Here is a 15,947-nt window from a genome sequence, read left to right as displayed (position 1 = left end):
GAAATTAGCTGGGCGTGGTGGTGCACACCTGTAGTCCCACCTACTCGGGAGGCTGAGGCAGGAGAATGGCTTGAACCTGGGAGGCGGAGCTTGCAGTGAGCCGAGATTGCGCCACTGCACTCCAGCCTGGCAACAGAGCGAGACTCTGTCTCAAAAAAAAAAAAGAGTGTAAACTTACATTATCTTATTTGATCCTTACGAAAACATAATGTAGTAGACAGGACAGGCACCACTGCCCCGATTTTACCAATGAGGAAACTAAAGTACAGAGAGGCAAGTTGTTTGCTCCTAGTCACAGAGCTGGCTGATAAAGAAGCTGGAACAAGGATGATTATCACACTCTTTCCAGCTGGGCAAACTGAAGCCCTGAGTTTTTCAGCTTCCTCACCATTATGTGGTAACAGACCTGGGCCTTCCTTGTTTCTTACGCTTTCTTCCTCTGAGCCTTGGCACATTTCACATTTTGAGAAGCAGCATGGCGGAATAAAAAGTAGGGGGGACGTGGGGCCAGAAAAGCTGATCTCCTATCTGAGCTTTCATTCTCACCTACAAAACAAGGATAGAGAGGTAGCCTCCTACTCACGGGGTGCACAAGCCAGTCTATCCAAAGCGCCTGACACTTGTGGATTGCTATGGTGGATTATTAGATGTTGGAGCAGTGTCTGCACCTCTCATCTAAAGTCATCCTTGGTATGTGGCTTCCTTTCTGCCTTGTACACATATGAGCTCATCAAAGTGATTCCTGTGTGACCTCTTCTTCATAAGGGTCATTTTGGGTTGAATTATCACAAAATCATTTCTGAATGTCTCATTTGAGCCAAGCCTGAACATTCTTCCTCTTAGATATAAAAATTCATTTTCTCTGAATATCTTGAAATTTGCCTTCCTAAAATATATCATATATGTCTGATTTGCCCCAATCTAAACTCTTAATGTACTTAGAATCTGTACATTTCAGTTTAGCTCTGACTTATACAGTCTTCTTTACATTGTGTTAGATATTATCTTGCCTTGCCCCTTTAATTATAGTCATACACAATTTGAAAGCAATGGCCATGTTCTACATATTTGTGGACCCACAGTGCATGGCACTGTCCTAGACATGTAATAAATATAATTATGAAATCACCAGAAACTCAGAATTGGAAAGGACTCTAGACCTTGTCATGCAGTCCATCTGGCCCATCAGGGCAAGAATTCCTTATAGATGGCCATCTAGCCCCTGCTTGAACACTCCAGGGCTGGGAGCTCACTCATTTGCAGGCAGTCTATTCTACTGTAGGATGGTTCTCTCTCCACCTGCCTCTTTTTATAAAAGAGATACACTGTCAGAAGACACACTGTCAGATTCCATTGCAGAGATACAGAGGAATCCTGCAAATTGTCCTCTGACAACCCTGCACCCACCTCACTGTAAACCAATGTCCCACAGTGCCTCTCCAATTCCTGCATCATCTGACCCAGCCCCACTTACTCATTTTGTAATCTTAGGTAACTTATGTCACCTCATTAAATCTCAATTTCTTCATCTTTAAATGAGATGAAAATTCCAACCTCACATGTTGTAGAGATTAAACATGATAACACCTATAAAGACATGTGGACATGTGGCCTATAGCAAGTACTCAGTAAATACTAGCTGGCATGAATGGAGAGTTACAGCAGATGCTAGCCTGATTGGAATACAGTGGGCTAGCCTAATAAGACATCCTGGTTGAGATGAACCTGGAGCTGTGCATTTAAAGGAGAAAACTAGGGAGTTCATAGAATAAGGGAGCATTTGGGAAGGATCTTCGGGTAGAAAAATAGAGTTTTCAGCTCAACCTAAAAGTATAAATTTAAATGTTGCAAGCCTGATGGGGAGGAGGGTCAGGAGGACCCTCTAGCAAAATGCACGACTTGACATGGAAAGTAATTGGGAATCACTCTAGGTTTATGAGAAGTAGAGTAACAGGATCACAGCAGCAGGTCTTAAAAAAACAGAGTTCCTGCTGCTATGTGAAGGTTAAAATAGAAGCAAAGGAGCAGACCGGGAGACAATGGCTGATTTGGATGTGGAGGACTAATCTTTGACATCTAGGATTTTTTTAGTTCTACTGTCTTTTTTTTTTTTGTTTAGTTTTTTGTTTTGTTTTCATTCTGGGCTATCAGCTGGTATATCTAGCAGCCATCAGGATTGATGGTCTATAGAACCCCTACATCCCTTATCCTAATAGGTTGTCTCAAATCTGTAATGGGCCAAAAACCAGAAAACCAATCTTTATTCATCATTCATTCACGTATGAATACATCTACCCACAGTATTTCGTTTTATATATATCTAGTATTTTATTACTATCCATAGTAACAACAACCACTGACCTGTCTCTAGAATAATTTGGAAACGAGTAAGACATAGCCATTGCCTTTAACGGGTTTATTAGACTTCTGAATTAAACAGATTTAAAAAATTAACTCTTATGCTCAACAGACTCTGGAAGTACCACAAGAGAGAAATGAACAAAATTCTGTGCCAGGGGTTGAAAACAGAGCAAATCAGGCTGCATTCGGCCAGCAAATGTTTTATTTGGCCCACACGGTGTTTTGTTTTTTTTTCAGAGTGGATGCTAACATTTAAAAATTAGGCCATTTCACATAAAAACCCAGATTCCTAGCTTCTGGTAAAAACAGGAAGAGCTGAGCACACTAGGCCAAATTCCTGCATGGTGGTAATTGGCAGGAGCTGAGCAGCAGCTGCCCCTTTTAGGCCGAGCATGAGCTCTGCAGTTTGCCACACTCTATTACTCTGACATTGAAGCCAAATGTTCAGTTGCCAGCTATCATCAGCTTGTGCTATAGGTACGTTTATAATAAAGTTAAAAGTAAAATGATTTTTTAAAACTCAAATCTCTATTAAAAGTACAAATGAAAGATTCACTGATACGGCTGTGTTTCAAGAAAAATGGGGTACAGAATACAAGACTATTCCTAGGGAAAACATACAATTCCTAGTGTTGAAGATGCAAATAAACATCTCCCATTTATGTTACCTGCCTGTCTCCTGCAGACATTTGAGTTTGCCACGTCTGTAACATAAGGAAAAATTAATGTAGTGGCTGAGAGCGTTGACGTTGGAGTGAGGAAGACCTGAGCTTGAAAGCTGGTTCCACCCCTCACTGTGTGACGCTGGCAAATTATCCACCCTCTCTGGGCTTCAGTTTCCTCATACATAAAATAGAGGAAATTATAGTACCTACCTTAGAGAGTGGTGAAGACACAACGAGATAAAGGATATGAAGTGCTTAGCCAGCACCTGGCACATAGTGTCAGCTACCACTAGTGCCGAACACAAAAGAGAGGACCCGTCTCCAACGTGAGCCTTGAAGGATGTTCAGGATTTCCGTGTGAGATGAGGAGAGACGGCATGCTTTACACAGAGAAAGATCTCAGAAGGGACAGAACCAAAGACAAGTAACCTGCTCCAGTGGCCAGAACAGAGGCTTCACAACAATGCTGAATGATTTTCAAAGTCAGGCCAAGACCTATCCCATAAGTAAGAATATGACAAAACAGACTGCTATGTTATAGATTTAGGCGATAACAATGGAATAGGACATTAAATAACTGAATCAAAAGGTGACAAAGTCATTCCCCTTCAGTTCTTTTTCAGACTTCCCAATTAGGAGAGCTTGTGTTTGGTGCTCATTTTGAGCACCTTTCTGATCATACCTGCCCATCTCCAGTTTTAGAGAAACGAGATCTCAGGTTTAAAGGCTCCCTAGCAACAATAGCTAGCTACAGCTTGTTCAGTTTTGTTTCTCCCTACTTTAAGTTTTACTTTTACACTTAGAGCAAGCGACGCTGATTTTATCTTAACATTTAGAGCAAGTGACACTGGTTTTCATAAATGGAGTAATAAAGTTTCCTTGTAAAATGTGAAATCATAATTAAAATAAATGAGACAATTTAGAGAAAAACGTCAAGAAAACAAGAGTATGGGTACTATGTGGATGTGGCAAGAACTGTGAAGCTTGAGCAGCTTCGTGCTGTCTCGTGGGTGTGAGATGAATCCAAGGCAGCGACAGGGCCAGACCGTGAGGGAAGAGCCGCCTCCACCCGCCACCACCTCAGGCGCGGCACCTCCCTTTGCCGCTCTCCAACCCTCGGGAGTTTCTCCAACCGCCAAGGGGCGGGAGGGCGACCCTGCAGTCTCCCAGGCCGGGGTTCAGTGCCCTCGGCCCAGGCAGCAAGCCCGCTGCCCCCCTCAAACACGCTGCAGCGGCTCGCGCACTCCCCGCGAGGACTCGACCTCCTGCTCTTCGCGAACCGCCCCGCTCCTCACCAGTGCTCGGCTTTATCTCTCCACGTCAACACGGCCCTCATCACGGCTTCCCTTACGGCTCGGGCTCCTCCTACCCGCCTCAGCGTCTGTCTCAGCAACCGCCTCACTAACGGTCGCCACTCCACAAGCCACTTTGGCTACCTGCGTTACCCCTGGCAACGTACATGCGCGGTAAGCTGAGTGCGAGGGCGCCTTGCTCCGAGCGCGCATGTCCGAAAGGGAAAGCCAGAAAAGCAGCAAAAGCAATGGTGGCACTGGAGCCCCTAAGGCGCCAGCGCAACCAGAGCGCGAGCGATTGGTCGGGGCGTGTGGGGGCGGTGCGTCTTCCTCGAGAATGGATTTGATTGGTGGAGCGTGGAAATGGCGGCTGTAGCCGAGGGGGCGGCCGGAAAGCAGCGGCGGCGTCTGGGGCGCTTTCGCAACATTCAGACCTCGGTTGCAGCCCGGTGCCGTGAGCTGAAGAGGTTTCACATCTTACTCCGCCCCACACCCTGGGCGTTGCGGCGCTGGGCTCGTTGCTGCAGCCGGACCCTGCTCGATGGGCACGACTGGGCTGGAGAGTCTGAGTCTGGGGGACCGCGGAGCTGCCCCCACCGTCACCTCTAGTGAGCGCCTAGTCCCAGACCCGCCGAATGACCTCCGGTAAGTTACTGTCCCCTTTTGGGCCTCAGTTTCACCACCTGTAAAATGGTATCGGGAGAGTGGACAGTGTGTGGGCCTTTCTAACCTTTGACAGAGGGTCGGCAGAAACCTCGAAGCCCACGGGTTTAGTTACTAGGGTCTGGAGCCCAGGTGCTCTTCCTGTGCGATCAGCCCTGGGGTGCGCTCGACTTCCTCATCTAAGATGACTAGGGAGACTGGGGGGGAGCCGGGAGGTTTTGTGAAAGAGGTCCCCTTGGGGTTGGAGGATCCTAGGAAGTCATTAGACTACGTGTGTGATAGGAGGTTAAGATTTACCTACTTTTTTCAAAATTTAATACTAAGAACTACTTTGAAAGAGGCATCACCTTCTTTTTACAGAGTCTTTTACCGAGACTTTGAGATGTTAAGTAACTTGCTGCTAAACTTACAGCTGGTAGAGCTGGAATTTGAGCCCCAGTCTCTTAAGAGTTTGTGCTGATTCCACCAGGCTTCAGTATTTTTATCTCTAAAATTGTAAACAATATCATTTCATAAGATCCATCCAGCTCCTCAAAATTATTTTACCCCAAATTACATCAGAAAACCTTGATTCTAATTCTAGTTCTTGCAGTTTCCCTATTTGTAGAAAAGAACTTGGGTTAAATGATCTCTCTAGACCCATCCACCTTTTACAATCTGTGGTTTAGTGATTAGGATACACTTTACTGAAATTTTTTTTTTAATTTTAAAAGTATGTTTTCATCATAGAAGACACATTGGAACTTTAATGAAGTTTTAGTTTAGTGGGTTTTTTTTTGAGATGAGGTCTCGCTCTGTCACCCAGGCTGGAGTGCAGTGGCACAATCATAGCTCCCTGAAGCCTTGACCTGCCGGACTTAAGCAGTCCTCCTACCCCGGCCTCCTTAGTAGCTGGGACCACAGGTATGCTCCACCACGCCCGGTTGCTTGTTTTTTTTTGTTTTTTTGGGTTTTTTTTTTCATTTTTTGCAAAGACGAGGATCTCACTGTGCTCTCCAGGCTGGTCTCAAACTCTTGGGATCAGGTGATCTTCCCACTTCCTCCTCCCAAAGTGCTAGCATTACAGGAATGAGCCACCTTGCCTTGCCAGCTTTTTTCAATAACAGTATGGGGGAGAAGTATTAGACCAAGATTTGGTAGACTTGGGTTCTCGTGTCTGTTCTGCAAGTAATTTAACCTGTCACTCAATTTTATCAATAAATTGAGAGTAAACCTTATTGTACCTACAAGGTTACCATGAGGATCAAGAATGAAGAAGATTCAAAAATTCTGTATCAAATTATTTACCTTCTGGAGGATTACATCTGATGAAAGTGATACACACTCTCTCCCAGAAATTTTACATTATGTAAAACTTTTACCTCATTTATTTGCAGAGAAGACAGTGTAACTCACTGATTTATTTAAGCATTTTCTGGTGCTTAAGAGCTTAGCTATTGGTTCATATTCTCAAATTTATGGTAAGTGCCCCCAGAAATCTTTATAATAGCCCTACTCAGTGATTAATCCGAAAAGTTTCTAGCTTGACTTTTTTGTTGTGCAGAGATTTCCAACACCTTTTAACCTGTGCTAGAGGATATGGGAAGCTTTTGGAAGACAGGAAAATACTCCCATAGCACAAGACTGGTCCACACTGACTTTAATCTCCCTCATTTTAATATGGATAATCTATGTGGTTCCTGCATTGTCATGGATTAAAACTGAGTAGGCAGTGGAAGATAAATTTTAAATAAGTTAATCACTTAGACTTTGTTTTTCCAGCAAAGAAGATGTTGCTATGGAATTGGAAAGAGTGGGAGAAGATGAGGAACAAATGATGATAAAAAGAAGCAGTGAATGTAATCCCTTGCTACAAGAACCCATCGCTTCTGCTCAGTTTGGTGCTACTGCAGGAACAGAATGCCGTAAGTCTGTCCCATGTGGATGGGAAAGAGTTGTGAAGCAAAGGTTATTTGGGAAGACAGCAGGAAGATTTGATGTGTACTTTATCAGGTAAGCATATAAGATGGTAAAGATAGTACAGCCAAATGATTTTGTCTGGGCAGGTAGTGGGAGCATAGCAGGAATCTTAGCTTCTTTATATTTTTACCATAAAACCATTGCAGATTCTATTCTTTCAATGTTGCTATTAATTACATCAAGTGATTTGGGGAAAATTACATACATTTTGTCCCTCCTTCTGTGAATGGTTAACGGGTAGGTTGCATTTTAGTTATATTTATAAATTTATATTGTCATAGAGGAAACCATTTAAAAGTGCCATTTATCACTCTTTTTCATTTTTAAATGACAGATACCTATGGCAACATTTGGAAATTAATTAGAAATCTGAAATGTGGTCCAGTTCTTTTAAAAGTCCCTTCTATTTACTAGCAGTAAGTTTCCTTTAATATCATTTTCTAGCCCACAAGGACTGAAGTTCAGATCCAAAAGTTCACTTGCTAATTATCTTCACAAAAATGGAGAGACTTCTCTTAAGCCAGAAGATTTTGATTTTACTGTACTTTCTAAAAGGGGTATCAAGTCAAGATATAAAGACTGCAGCATGGCAGCCCTGACATCCCATCTACAAAACCAAAGTAACAATTCAAACTGGAACCTCAGGACCCGAAGCAAGTGCAAAAAGGATGTGTTTATGCCGCCAAGTAGTAGTTCAGAGTTGCAGGAGAGCAGAGGACTCTCTAACTTTACTTCCACTCATTTGCTTTTGAAAGAAGATGAGGGTGTTGATGATGTTAACTTCAGAAAGGTTAGAAAGCCCAAAGGAAAGGTGACTATTTTGAAAGGAATCCCAATTAAGAAAACTAAAAAAGGATGTAGGAAGAGCTGTTCAGGTTTTGTTCAAAGTGATAGCAAAAGAGAATCTGTGTGTAATAAAGCAGATGCTGAAAGTGAACCTGTTGCACAAAAAAGTCAGCTTGATAGAACTGTCTGCATTTCTGATGCTGGAGCATGTGGTGAGACCCTCAGTGTGACCAGTGAAGAAAACAGCCTTGTAAAAAAAAAAGAAAGATCATTGAGTTCAGGATCAAATTTTTGTTCTGAACAAAAAACTTCTGGCATCATAAACAAATTTTGTTCAGCCAAAGACTCAGAACACAACGAGAAGTATGAGGATACCTTTTTAGAATCTGAAGAAATCGGAACAAAAGTAGAAGTTGTGGAAAGGAAAGAACATTTGCATACTGACATTTTAAAACGTGGCTCTGAAATGGACAACAACTGCTCACCAACCAGGAAAGACTTCACTGGTGAGAAAATATTTCAAGGTATCCAGTGCTTTCAAGCACTATTAAACATTATGTGATGAGAAATTTATAATGCTGCATCTTGTATTCGTGCCCATACATGGTTAAGATGTGAAAATAGAGCCAAGAAATAGGGCCAAATATGAGATACCAGTTGATCCTAATACTTTATCTTAAACTGATATTCAAGCAGTTTCCTATGGCAGAGAGAAAATCGGCTGACTGCTGTCGTGATGCCATGGCAAAGGAGAGTATTACTATTAACAGCTGCCATCGTCTCTCCCTGGTGCAGCAGCTGGGACTCTCCTCCTCAGCAGTGCTTTCCCTTCTTCCCATCCTCTTTCCAGCCAGTAATCTTAAAACTTGAAGGAAAATTAAAAGCCTTCACTTGTGAAAAATTTAGGGAAGGCTTCTTATATACATAAATGAGTGGAGAATAGTTGGTGTCTTCACACCCCTCCTGATACTTACTACTAAGTGTGACTTCCAATTTAATTTTGTATATATCATAGTCATTTTTATCTTCTATTTTAATGTAATGCTTCTCTAAAATGCTTTAGAGCTCTAAATAATTCAAAAGTATAATCACATAGTTCATCTATTATTTGTAATATGCTCTTAATACAGAATTCAGAACTTAGCAGTTTTGTCTTTATAATACCTCAGTGAATAAGAGATAAAAGGGAGACCTTTTGAGCAGCCCTGTATTAGTTATTCATTATGCCATTATGGTATAATGAATAACTCCTTTAAAGAATAATAATTTTACTTAAACTCCTGTGGGGAAACAGCCTGGAGAAATTTGTGAAGCAGGAGATTAGGTTTGATTCTTGTTCCCAGTTCTACCCATGATTTTATGTCTTTTCTGTGCCTGGAGTTTCTCTGCCTTTAACACAAGATGGCCATATATACCTAGGAACTGCATAAGAATTCTTCAAGTCTGTGTCCTAGACACTGAGCTTCTTGAAGAAAGCTTTGAGGTTTATGTAGATTTATTGCTAGCAAAATGGGCAAATATTAAAAACTTTTTTTTGTGGTAAGAGTCTAGTTCTCAACATGAGATGAAGTACTCTTAGTACGAGGTGTCCATGAAATAGTGAAGACACCCATTGGCTTAGCTAGAAATTGCCAAGTAAACCTGGCATAAAGGAGACTAGTAATTATTCATAGGAGCCCACAGAAAAAGTTGTCAAATCAGAGCAGTCAGAGCAGTTTCCTTTGTTCTTTTTTTTTTTTACTCTCTACTGGGCTTTACCTACTCAAACTAAAATAGCGAAAAAACAGTAGTCTAATTATCTGGAGACCTGGATACTTGTTCCAGTTTATAGTCAATCCCAGTATCATTTTGGGATGATTGCTTCATTTAGAAGCTTCACTTTCTTCATCTGTAAAATAGAGGTAACCATCCTGACTAGTCCTGTTTTTCACATCAAAAATATTGTAAAATGAGAAGTGAAAAAGATGCTATACAAATGCAAGGTATTATTAACTGATATTCAAATTGCGAGGGTATGGTTAAGGAGTATTACATGTGATTTTAGAAATTTGAGAAGTCTGATAACACTGGTTCCCAATAGATAGAGGTTCTCAATAGGTAGTTGTCTCAGGTGTTCTAGGGTTCAAATTGTAGGTTTTTCTGCAGATTCTGTTTTGTCTGTATCCCTTTTTTTGGTAAGCGTAAAAGTAAGTGTTCACTGCAGAAATTTTGGAAAATACAGAAAAGTAAAGAAGGAAAGAAAAATTAGCACTTGGCAACAACCATTATATCATTTTGGCTTATTTCATTCTTAACTTCTGTATTGTTATTTATATATGTTTCCCCTTTTTTATAAAATTGGGATCATATGTAGACTCTTGCTTTTTCATTTAGAAGTTAATAGGAAAATATTCACAATAGTCTAAAAAATACTTTAATGACCACATTATACAAATGCATCGTAATTTAAAATATTCCATACTGCCTTTAATTTTTCAATACTATAAACTCTGAACATAAGTCATAAAGAACTAGTGTCACAGAGTGGTTAAAGGTGAGGACTCAGGAGCCAGACTGTCTGGATTTGAATTTTAGCTGGGACACTTAGTATCTGTGTGATCTTGAGCAAGTTACTTAGCTTCTCTGTGCCTCAATGTCCTTATCTGTAAAGTGGAGATAAAAATAGTACCAAGTTCATGGGTCATTAGTTAGATTAATTGGGTATTTATGTAAAGGGCTTAGAATAGTGCCTGGCATGCTTTGTAATAGTGTTGATATTATTATTTGCATCCCTCAATATTGCTTTAAGCTAAACCATAGACTCCATAAAGTGTTTACTTTTCCTTTTCAGAAGATACCATCCCACGAACACAGATAGAAAGAAGGAAAACAAGCCTGTATTTTTCCAGCAAATATAACAAAGAAGGTATCCCTTTCCCAATCAGAACAGCAAATTCTAATTCCATTTTGGGTTTTCAATTCTGATGCACTATGTTTGTTTAGCTCTTAGCCCCCCACGACGTAAAGCCTTTAAGAAATGGACACCTCCTCGGTCACCTTTTAATCTCGTTCAAGAAACACTTTTTCATGATCCATGGAAGCTTCTCATCGCTACTATATTTCTCAATCGGACCTCAGGTTTGGGGATTATTATCATCTTTGTCTTAGTAGAGACAGTGTGGTAGGGAGAAAGCACTGAATTGAGGCCTGGGTTCAAAGTCCATTTTGAGTGTGTCACCTGGGATAGGGCATTCCCCCTTCACCCTTAAACTCTTCACCTATGAGGAAATGAGACTGGATGACATCCAACAGACCTTTTAGAATAAAGAGGTAGATTTTATTTATTTTATACTTCCAAATTCTTTTTGATCATCAGTGAAAATCAGTTAACGTTTCTCCACCCTCTTTCATGTGTGTTTAAAAGTATCTTTTTCACTGAATGTACCTTGTGTTCTATATGCTTCTACTCTCATTATCTGCTGATCTGATCATTTAAAAGCTAATCATGCAAGGCCAGTTTTCAGCATAATTTGGACTATTAGCCCAATATATTAGCAGTTTTGGCATTTGATTCTGAAAGTGGTTGCTGGTTCAGATAATGGCTTCTCACCAGTGTTTTTTTGTTTTTTGTTTTCTTTAAAAAAAAAAACCCTCTGGATGAGATTTCTATGAGAAACTACTTGAACATGAAATCAGCCCACCTGGAGTCTTGTAATCATTCAGTTACTTTTACTTCCCAGGCAAAATGGCAATACCTGTGCTTTGGAAGTTTCTGGAGAAGTATCCTTCAGCTGAGGTAGCAAGAACCGCAGACTGGAGAGATGTGTCAGAACTTCTTAAACCTCTTGGTCTCTACGATCTTCGGGCAAAAACCATTGTCAAGTTCTCAGGTATTTTCCTATACACCCAAAGGAAAAACATAATACATTGTGCTTATTTAAGAGAGCCACACCTTAAACTTTAATGTTCTCAGATACTATATTAATGGAGGTTTTTCAGCTCAAGCACCCAAGGCATTTAAAAAAGTCCACTTTCCCCAAACCACAGTCTCCCACTGACCTAAACAATAAATCTTTGCCCAGCACTGGGTCAGGCATGTGGGCAGAATTAGGGGAAGAAGTCAGTGAAGCAGAAAGCCCAGTTCTTGACCTCAAGGACATGACTTCTGTCTTGTTAGCACAGCACAAAAGAGTGGTTAGGAATTGGCAAATGATATGGGTGCTGCAGGAATTCAGAAGGAAGAGTAATCACAACTGGGGTTGCTGGGAAAGAGCCTTTCCTGTCCCTTTCTGCTGTTCTCTCCATCCTGCCCCATCACCACACATTTTGGGAGGGTGTCTTTAGAAGCTGACCTGATAATGTGGGATGTTGTATTCTTCAGATGAATACCTGACAAAGCAGTGGAAGTATCCAATTGAGCTTCATGGGATTGGTAAATATGGCAACGACTCTTACCGAATTTTTTGTGTCAATGAGTGGAAGCAGGTGAGGCTCACTCCCATCCATAATTCAGCACATTTGGTCTCTGAGGCAAAATAAGTCCACCATTATGGTTAAGACTATTTATTGGATACAAATGCTATTACAGTCACAAACAATTGTGTTCCTGGCTGCGGGGAAGCGGGTGGCATGTGGGTTTTGGGGTTTTTGATCAGTAGGCGCTCCCAAGTCCACAAAGACCAGTCCAGCGGCGTGGCCTCTGACTCATCTCCAGTGGTTTGTCACCTCTGGCCCTGTTCCTGTCATTCCCTATTTGTGTGCTATCTCTAAGCCTGACGTGGTTTTCCTCCTGTCAAAAGTACACCACTACAGGAAAGCAGGAAGGTTTGGGCCTGCAATGTATGCATATTGGGTTTCTCTTAGTGGTCTCAGACTACGTTTGTGGTGACTGGGTCCTGCTTCAGCCCTGTTGAATATGCCCAGCCTGTGGCATGCTGGTGGTCATCCTGGCAGCTGGTGGGTGGCCTGGTATGCTGCCCACTCAGCTTGAGACTCACCCTCATGCATTCAGCCAGTAGGTCTGGCCAAGCCTGAACTGAAGGACCATGGTCCTATCCCAGCTTCATCAGAGCAATCCATTGTGACCTGAGAATCCATTTAACCTCTCGGTCTAGAACCTCCTTCTGGAAAGTGAGGTATTAATACTTGACTCATGTTATCGCCACCCCACATTCTAAGTCATGGTTGAGTAGTAATTTGGACAGTACCTTGTAAATTGTGTGAGATTACCTTAATATAAGGTATAACTTAAAATATTCATGAATCCCAGGAGGTTAAAGGTTATAACTTTTAGGTATGGTATCGTAATGTACTGTCCCCCAGCAAACATTTAAAAAGCCAATTTTAAAAAATGTATTTCTGACTAAGTTACATTAAGGTCTCTGCCTCTGTATCTTATGTTTCTTCCAGGTGCACCCTGAAGACCACAAATTAAATAAATATCATGACTGGCTTTGGGAAAATCATGAAAAATTAAGTCTATCTTAAACTCTGCAGCTTTCAAGCTCATCTGTTATGCATAGCTTTGCACTTCAAAAAAGCTTAATTAAGTACAACCAACCACCTTTCCAGCCATAGAGATTTTAATTAGCCCAACTAGAAGCCTAGTGTGTGTGCTTTCTTAATGTGTGTGCCAATGGTGGATCTTTGCTACTGAATGTGTTTGAACATGTTTTGAGATTTTTTTAAAATAAATTATTATTTGACAACAATCCAAAAAAAATACGGCTTTTCCAATGATGAAATATAATCAGAAGATGAAAAATAGTTCTAAACTATCAATAATACAAAGCAAATTTCTATCAGCCTTGCTAAAGCTAGGGGCCCACTAAATATTTTTATCGGCTAGGCGTGGTGGTGCATGCCTGTAATCTCGGAAGGCTGAGGCAGGAGGATCATTTGAGCTCATGAGGGCCCAGGAGGTCAAGGCTTCAGTGAGCCATGATCATGCCACTGCACTCCAGTCTGGATGACAGAGAGAGACCCTGTCTCAAAAAATATATATTTAAAAAATAAAAATAAAAGCTGACCCCAAAGACAAATAAGATTCCTCTGGCATTGTGTATTGTTGACAGCTCCACACTAGCTCTTAGGAATTGTAGATTCCACCCCAGTATCCATTTGATAACCTAATGTGAATATGGGCCTGCTGCTCCATTTCAGCTCACTCACTCTTTTACCTTGGTCCCTTTGTGAAAACTCATTTCTCATCTTCCATTTGGAGTTTATACCATTTGGCCAGGCACAGTGGCTTACACCTGTAATCCTAGCACTTTGGGAGGCTGAGGCAGGAGGATTGCTTGAGCCCAGGAGTTCAAAACCAGACTGGGCAACATAATGAGACCCCGTCTCTACAAAAAATTTTAAAAATTAATTGGGCATGGTGACATACACTTGTGGTCCCAGCTACTCAGAAGGCTGAGGTGGGAGAATCCCTTGAGCCCAGGAGATTGAGGCTGCAGTGAGCTATGATCACACCACTGCACTTCAGCCTGGATGACACAGCAAGACCCTGTCTTAAAAAAAATAAGTCTTAATGCCATTTTTATTACAAGTATTGTTACAGTTCAAATACCAAAGCATTTACTATTAGAAAGAAACCAAGGGAAAAAACTAGTTACTATGTCTTAATTACCAACTACCATTTTAAGGTATAATTTGAAAATTAAATTGATTGAATAAATGAAAAATAAATCAGTTGTTCAGGAAACTGCCTTTGTTGTAGGGCAGTGTGAACCGAATCAGGCTGCAGTGTGATGCAGAGGTAGTTGGTTGTTTCCACTTTAGTGAGTGTCAGTTTTTAGAAGGATAGATTTTGACCAGAGAACAGGAAAACTGGCCACACCTCCCTCTCCCCAAGGCAAACCCACTTTATAGTTTACCATCACATTTTCATTTAACAAACATCCAAGTAGCATTCACAAAGTGTAAAGCCCTGTGGTGGGGAGGGGCACAAAGATAAACAAGTTCTGTACAGACCCTCACAGAGAGAAAGAAGGGCACCTAATAATGGAAGGGAACAAAAGCGGTAAGGAGTAGGGACAAGACACCCAAAGAGGGTGGAGAGGGGCCTCTGAAACCTTGGGCCCAGCTGGGCCTGGAGGGTGGGGCGAGCTCACCAAGCTCAGGGCATCAGGTGTGGCTTTGTGGTAGGGCTGGTGGTCACATACCTTCCCCCAGCATCTCCATGGGGAGTGTGGGCCCGTGTGAATGCAGGAGGCGAGCTCTGCACCAGGGGAGCTCAGGACACAGCCAGGTTGCTCAGGCTCTAGGCCTGGCTTTTCCTGTTTCTTGCAGGTGAGGTTGCCTGACCTCTGTACCTGTTAACTTGTCTTTTAAAAATGGGATAGTGGTGTCTACCTCACACAATGATGGTAATTATGAAGTTCAGACATGTAGTGCTAAAATGGTACCTGGCTTGCAAGAGTGCTGTGTGAATGTGGCCCATGGCAACAATCTGTTTGCAAGCGTCACAAAGATAGCTTGTCTCAGCAAAGGAATAAGGGCTTAGGTGTTTCTCTTTAACTTTTTAAAAATTGAGCTAAAAGCCACCATTTAACCATTTTAAAGTGTACAGTTCAGTGGTTTAGTACATTTACAGTGTGCAGCCATCATCACTAATTCCAGAAGTTTCCATTTCTTTTTTCCACTCCAAAAAGAATCTCTCCACCTGTTAGCAGTCACTTCAATTACTCACCCCATCCCCTAGCAACCATTCATCTACTTTCCGTGTCTGTGGGTTCGTCTATGCTGAACATTTCACATAAATGGAATCATACAGCACGTGGCCTTTTGTGTCTAGCTTCTTGCTTAGCATACTGTTTTGAAGGTTTATCCATATTGTAGCATGTACTTCATTCCTTCTTATGGCCATCCTATGGATATACCTCATTTTGCTTATCAGTTGATGCACATTTCAAGGGTTTATTATTATTCTCTGGTCCTCAGGTTCTGTAACTCCAAACCATGGCACCCTGCCATAAGCGGGGCAGAACATACCCAACACCTCTATCTGGCCACAGCTCACTTTGGTTCTTCCTAACCCTCTGGAGGAGGCAGGGCCTATTTTTCCTATGAGAAAACTGAGGCCTAGAGATATGGAGACCTGCGGAAGATCCCACATTTCACGGGAAAACCGGAGACTTTCTACACTGGATTCAGGGACTACTGGGCCGAACAAAGAAATCCCGCCTTTCACCAAGCCCAGAACTGGGCGGGGCGTGGATTTGCTCGCTGCCCCTCC

General features: G+C 41.8%; 2 protein-coding genes across 31 annotated transcripts in view, besides 7 other annotated features; one reads left to right on the top strand and one right to left on the bottom strand.

The window, feature by feature from the left end:
* Positions 1–4,469, bottom strand: part of IFT122 (intraflagellar transport 122) — an 80,284-nt gene extending 75,815 nt beyond the window's left edge. For all 24 annotated transcript variants that reach the window (NM_001280545.2, NM_052985.4, NM_001280541.2 and 21 more), the window contains exon 1: positions 4,322–4,469. Coding sequence is in view for 21 of the 24 variants with exons in the window: in NM_052985.4 (NP_443711.2) it covers positions 4,322–4,362 (41 nt within the window). In the remaining 3 variants the exon portion in view is untranslated. The remainder of the gene's footprint in view (positions 1–4,321) is intronic.
* Positions 3,466–3,515: an enhancer, noted in NCBI's record as "active region_20517". NCBI's record gives its function as "activates an Ori minimal core promoter by ATAC-STARR-seq in GM12878 lymphoblastoid cells {active_cell/tissue: GM12878}" and the evidence as "EXISTENCE:reporter gene assay evidence [ECO:0000049][PMID:35858748]".
* Positions 3,916–3,965: an enhancer, noted in NCBI's record as "active region_20516". NCBI's record gives its function as "activates an Ori minimal core promoter by ATAC-STARR-seq in GM12878 lymphoblastoid cells {active_cell/tissue: GM12878}" and the evidence as "EXISTENCE:reporter gene assay evidence [ECO:0000049][PMID:35858748]".
* Positions 3,996–4,045: an enhancer, noted in NCBI's record as "active region_20515". NCBI's record gives its function as "activates an Ori minimal core promoter by ATAC-STARR-seq in GM12878 lymphoblastoid cells {active_cell/tissue: GM12878}" and the evidence as "EXISTENCE:reporter gene assay evidence [ECO:0000049][PMID:35858748]".
* Positions 4,196–4,405: an enhancer, noted in NCBI's record as "active region_20514". NCBI's record gives its function as "activates an Ori minimal core promoter by ATAC-STARR-seq in GM12878 lymphoblastoid cells {active_cell/tissue: GM12878}" and the evidence as "EXISTENCE:reporter gene assay evidence [ECO:0000049][PMID:35858748]".
* Positions 4,606–4,745: an enhancer, noted in NCBI's record as "active region_20513". NCBI's record gives its function as "activates an Ori minimal core promoter by ATAC-STARR-seq in GM12878 lymphoblastoid cells {active_cell/tissue: GM12878}" and the evidence as "EXISTENCE:reporter gene assay evidence [ECO:0000049][PMID:35858748]".
* Positions 4,745–13,746, top strand: MBD4 (methyl-CpG binding domain 4, DNA glycosylase). 7 transcript variants are annotated; one of them, XM_047449153.1, is made up of 8 exons: positions 4,745–4,963; positions 6,743–6,973; positions 7,385–8,232; positions 10,557–10,631; positions 10,709–10,843; positions 11,446–11,595; positions 12,087–12,137; positions 13,115–13,746. In XM_047449153.1, the coding sequence occupies exons 1-8, from the start codon at positions 4,860–4,862 to the stop codon at positions 13,123–13,125; spliced, it is 1,605 nt and encodes a 534-aa protein (XP_047305109.1). In that variant the 5' UTR covers positions 4,745–4,859; the 3' UTR covers positions 13,126–13,746. The 7 variants fall into 7 exon arrangements, with proteins under 7 accessions (XP_047305109.1, NP_001263199.1, NP_001263201.1 ...); NM_001276270.2 differs by having other exon boundaries at positions 12,087–12,190; NM_001276272.2 differs by having other exon boundaries at positions 7,385–8,250.
* Positions 4,836–4,915: an enhancer, noted in NCBI's record as "active region_20512". NCBI's record gives its function as "activates an Ori minimal core promoter by ATAC-STARR-seq in GM12878 lymphoblastoid cells {active_cell/tissue: GM12878}" and the evidence as "EXISTENCE:reporter gene assay evidence [ECO:0000049][PMID:35858748]".
* Positions 15,871–15,920: a silencer, noted in NCBI's record as "silent region_14724". NCBI's record gives its function as "represses an Ori minimal core promoter by ATAC-STARR-seq in GM12878 lymphoblastoid cells {active_cell/tissue: GM12878}" and the evidence as "EXISTENCE:reporter gene assay evidence [ECO:0000049][PMID:35858748]".

Source organism: Homo sapiens, chromosome 3 (genome assembly GCF_000001405.40).
Source record: "Homo sapiens chromosome 3, GRCh38.p14 Primary Assembly".
NCBI lineage: Eukaryota > Metazoa > Chordata > Mammalia > Primates > Hominidae > Homo > Homo sapiens.
Note: the sequence above shows the minus strand (reverse complement) of the source record. Positions and strands in the feature narration are given on the sequence as shown.

Coding starts and splice junctions, on each gene's coding strand:
- MBD4 (NM_003925.3), top strand. CDS start 4,860: ATGGGCACGACTGGGCTGGAGAGTCTGAGTCTGGGGGACCGCGGAGCT. Junction 10,844..11,445: donor ATTTCTCAATCGGACCTCAG/GTTTGGGGATTA, acceptor TTTACTTCCCAG/GCAAAATGGCAATACCTGTG. Junction 12,191..13,114: donor GTGTCAATGAGTGGAAGCAG/GTGAGGCTCACT, acceptor TGTTTCTTCCAG/GTGCACCCTGAAGACCACAA.